This window comes from Homo sapiens, chromosome 12, assembly GCF_000001405.40.
Source record: "Homo sapiens chromosome 12, GRCh38.p14 Primary Assembly".
NCBI lineage: Eukaryota > Metazoa > Chordata > Mammalia > Primates > Hominidae > Homo > Homo sapiens.
In genome coordinates this window covers 84,267,578-84,271,290 of record NC_000012.12, presented here as the reverse complement: position 1 = coordinate 84,271,290, position 3,713 = coordinate 84,267,578, and the positions used below count along the sequence as shown (strand labels likewise).

General features: G+C 35.8%; 1 annotated feature.

Moving 5' to 3' along the window:
- Positions 226 to 948: an enhancer, noted in NCBI's record as "OCT4-NANOG hESC enhancer chr12:84664122-84664844 (GRCh37/hg19 assembly coordinates)". NCBI's record gives its function as "activates a minimal SCP1, AML or CMV promoter by ChIP-STARR-seq in primed H9 embryonic stem cells {active_cell/tissue: H9 hESC(primed)}" and the evidence as "EXISTENCE:reporter gene assay evidence [ECO:0000049][PMID:30033119]".

The window sequence follows — 3,713 nt, the reverse complement described above, 5'->3', positions numbered from 1 at the left end:
TTTGAGGAGTTCGCTCAATGTCGTGTTTGAGCTAGCGTAGGAAGAAGCTGCAGACACTGAGGTTCCTACTCTCTGGGATCTTCTCTGCAGACCTTTTTGGATCCAGTGAGAAAGATTGTGAAAAAAGATTGCTTCTCTTAGAAGTAAAAGCCTGGGGAGAGGCTTTTCCTGTCAGAAGGACAGGAAGTTTTTCCCATAACCTTGTTCCCCACAGAATAAAGGCAAATGGCCTGCTGTAGCAAAGAAGAAAGATAAAAAATGTACCCCACTACCCCTGAAGAGGATCAAGGCATTCTCTACCTTCTAGACTTGAGATAGAAGGCAGAGTCTGGCTGCCTGCCAAGCGTACTCGCTATAAGGAGAATGGGCAACATTACTGAACAAGCTTCATTCCCAACACCCAAGGATTTAGGGCTACCTAAAACTCACACTTCAGTGGGAAAGGGGAAACAATTCCGACCAAGAGAACATTAACATTTCTTCCAGTTTGCCTCACTTTAGACAAGTTTCTTCATGCCTCTAGGCGCCTGATCTTTCACGTTAGAAATCTTGTAATTGCCCATTCTTTTTCTACCCACTTTGATATGTAAATCTTTTTTAAAAGCCTCTTAACAACTTTAATTCCTATGAATGTCTTTCGCACGCACCTGGGAGTTATCTCTTTGATAATGTCTTTGAAATGTAATCATTAAGGAAGGGAGTGCCACAGTCTTCCAGCTTCCGTGGGAGTTTAGGAGACTAACTCTGGTTAGGACATCCTTCTTCAAGTTGTAAACTACCTTCTATCATGAATATAAAAGAAAGTTTACTTTTCCTTTGTGTAAAGCCATTTAACAAGTATAAATGGCTTATGATTGCGCCCTCCAATTCAAGTTCTCAGTAACTCTTGCATCCCCTTTTCCAGTGGAGTTGAGGTCAGAATATTTTCTGATCTCTCTCCCTTATTGAAACAGCCTTGAATAAAGTTTTCCTTACCTGTGTAACTTTATCCAGTGTAACATTTACTTTGACAATCCCTGTTCGAATGGAAAATGGATTATAGAAGAGGGGGCCAAAAGATAATACATTTTAAAGTATCACAACATGTTGAATGCCACTTACTGAACAGAATAATAACACTCCCTATGTTTCAGTCTCTGACTTACAAATTGGGAATGAAAATGAACTATGAAATCTGTTTCAAACATTAAAGGAATATAAATTGTGAATCTAATTGGTGTATGTTAATCAATAGATACATTTCGTTTGTTTTTAATATTTTCCATTGGGAATGCTATGTGAATGTTTCTGAACAATTTACACATTAACTTGTCTCCTTCATCTCCTAGTCTTTAAGATGAGGTCCAACCTAAATCCAAATTCTATTACAACTACAACTATATACTAAATCAAATGCTATCTTTTAGTTGATTCTGAAGGAAACCAAAATATTTCTTCCCAAACTATACTTCATTGACATATTTGAAGACGGCCGTTCAGAGGGCCAGTAGACAAAATTAGCCCTGAACATCTTTTATGGGGGAGATTTGCATCTGTAGAGAATCTGCACTGATGCAACCAGATTTACTCTGAGGCTTTCTCTTATATCTAGGAAAGATTAACTGAGAGTCTCACATGGTTACTTATCTGAAAGAAACATTTTCCATCTATTGTCTCTGAGGGCTGCTATCTGTGAGGTCTCATCTATATAACAAGACAACCTTTGCTAGCCAGGCCTCTGCTTCTCTCCCTCCCATATCCTGTCTTACCACCATGACTTATTTGGGGCCATGCTCCGAGCCCCCATATTCTCTACAACTCTAAGATGGTATACAAGGGTCAACCATTTTACCTTTTTGGGGGATCTTCTTTTGTAAGACTCTTGTGGCACATTAATAATTTTGTATGCTTTTTCTTCTATTATTCTGCCTTTAATCAGTTAGTGAACCTTCAGAGAACAAGAGGAAAATTTCCCCTTAGCCTCTACAATTCTCACTTGGCTTTCTTTTTAGGCATAGATAGGTATATTGAAGAAGAATCATAATTTTATATTCTTAATTCTTTGACTACTTGATCAATATGTATTGCTAGTGTTCCTAACAATACTGCGTGGAACTTTAGAGGCTATCTATGGCAATTGTTTTCTGCTGAAACCCATATTTCAAGGAATTATTCTCAAGTCCTTCCAATTTTTTTGAATGCTCTTAACACAAAATTCTAAAACTAAATGTAGACGACTGTTGGAAAAGCCCATGTTACTGAAGCCACCAACTAAATTCAGATGTTCAAAAGGCCAAGCCATTATGAGATGATGCCAGAGTTTTGCAGGGCACAATAATTTAGGTGTATGGGCACAGAATCAAAGTATGTAAAAATTCCCCAAATGACCTTTCATTTTCCTTTACAAATACTTTGAAGTTTACCTATTGTTTCTACTTTCAAAGCACATTCTTCCTGCTGCAATTATGGAATTGTTTTCAATAGTATTGTCGTGAGTAGATTTTTTTTACACACGCAATTTATTAATAGCTAATAATATAAAATGAGACCATAAAGAGTATAATATGTACACATATTTTCTGATTATTCTTTCCTATATAGTTTTATCTTGTTATGTAAGCCATTACTGAAATGTATTGAAATCCACTAGAGAAAATTTATCATCTCATTATTACTACTCTTTATTAGTGGTTTCCTTGTATAACAAAAGGTACAATGTAGCAATAGCTTTTAAAAGAACAATATGTAGAATTCTCAGTTGAGTTTGAACATATTTAGAAAAATATTTCATTTTAAACTTCTGTTTTTCTCATTCACTTGGATTTTTGTCACCCAATTTCTAATATCCATGCTTAAATATGTGACTTTAACATCTGGCTTACCAGAAGTAAAAAATAAAATTGACGTTTTCTTCCTTACATGTAACCTGGTTTTATTTATGGTGATTAAAACTGAGCAAACTATTATTATCCACTAACAACCAAAAGTATTAAAATATGTGAGTATATATACCTTGAATATACTTCTCCATTTTTGCCCTCAACACCCCTCCAAGGCATTCTGTTTGCTGCTGCTAGAGTGATGTTTCAGCAAGTATCTGAATAATATTTCATTTTATAATTATAAATGTTTCCATGGAATACCCATCAAACAGGATAAAATCTTAGCATTTTAATGTGTACAGAAGCCTTCAGGACCTACTGATTCGTGAGACATGGCTGACACATAGTAAGAGATGTATACATCTAAATTCTCTTTCCTGTAGACTTGATCCAGTCTATAGTCTAGGGGTGGCTGGAGGAGCAGCAGTGTAAAGGCAGGGTTTTGAGGGCAAAGTGTTCAGATGGGGTCCATTATTTTGGCCCTGCAGGTATCACCATTGCTGTCTTGTAATGCTTTCTCAACCTCTCTTATATACCTCATTCACAATCATATTTTAATCTCCACAGTTACTTCCTTTCTTTTCAAAAATAATAGACAGATGTAGCATAAATATAACAAACTCTTTCAAGATTTTTTTTCCACTCAGAATACCCCTCCTCCTTTGGTTTCCCTTGCAAATTTATTGCAATTTTTTTTCCTGATTTTATCTTGTCTCTGAAGTCTTTCTTCACTAGCACCCTGGAATTATTCTGTACAGCAAACACTTTTCTCTGCATTAAACATTATTCAATCATTTTTTAATATTACTGAATATATGAATTGTCTTCTAGGCCTATCTTTTCCACTAGTCT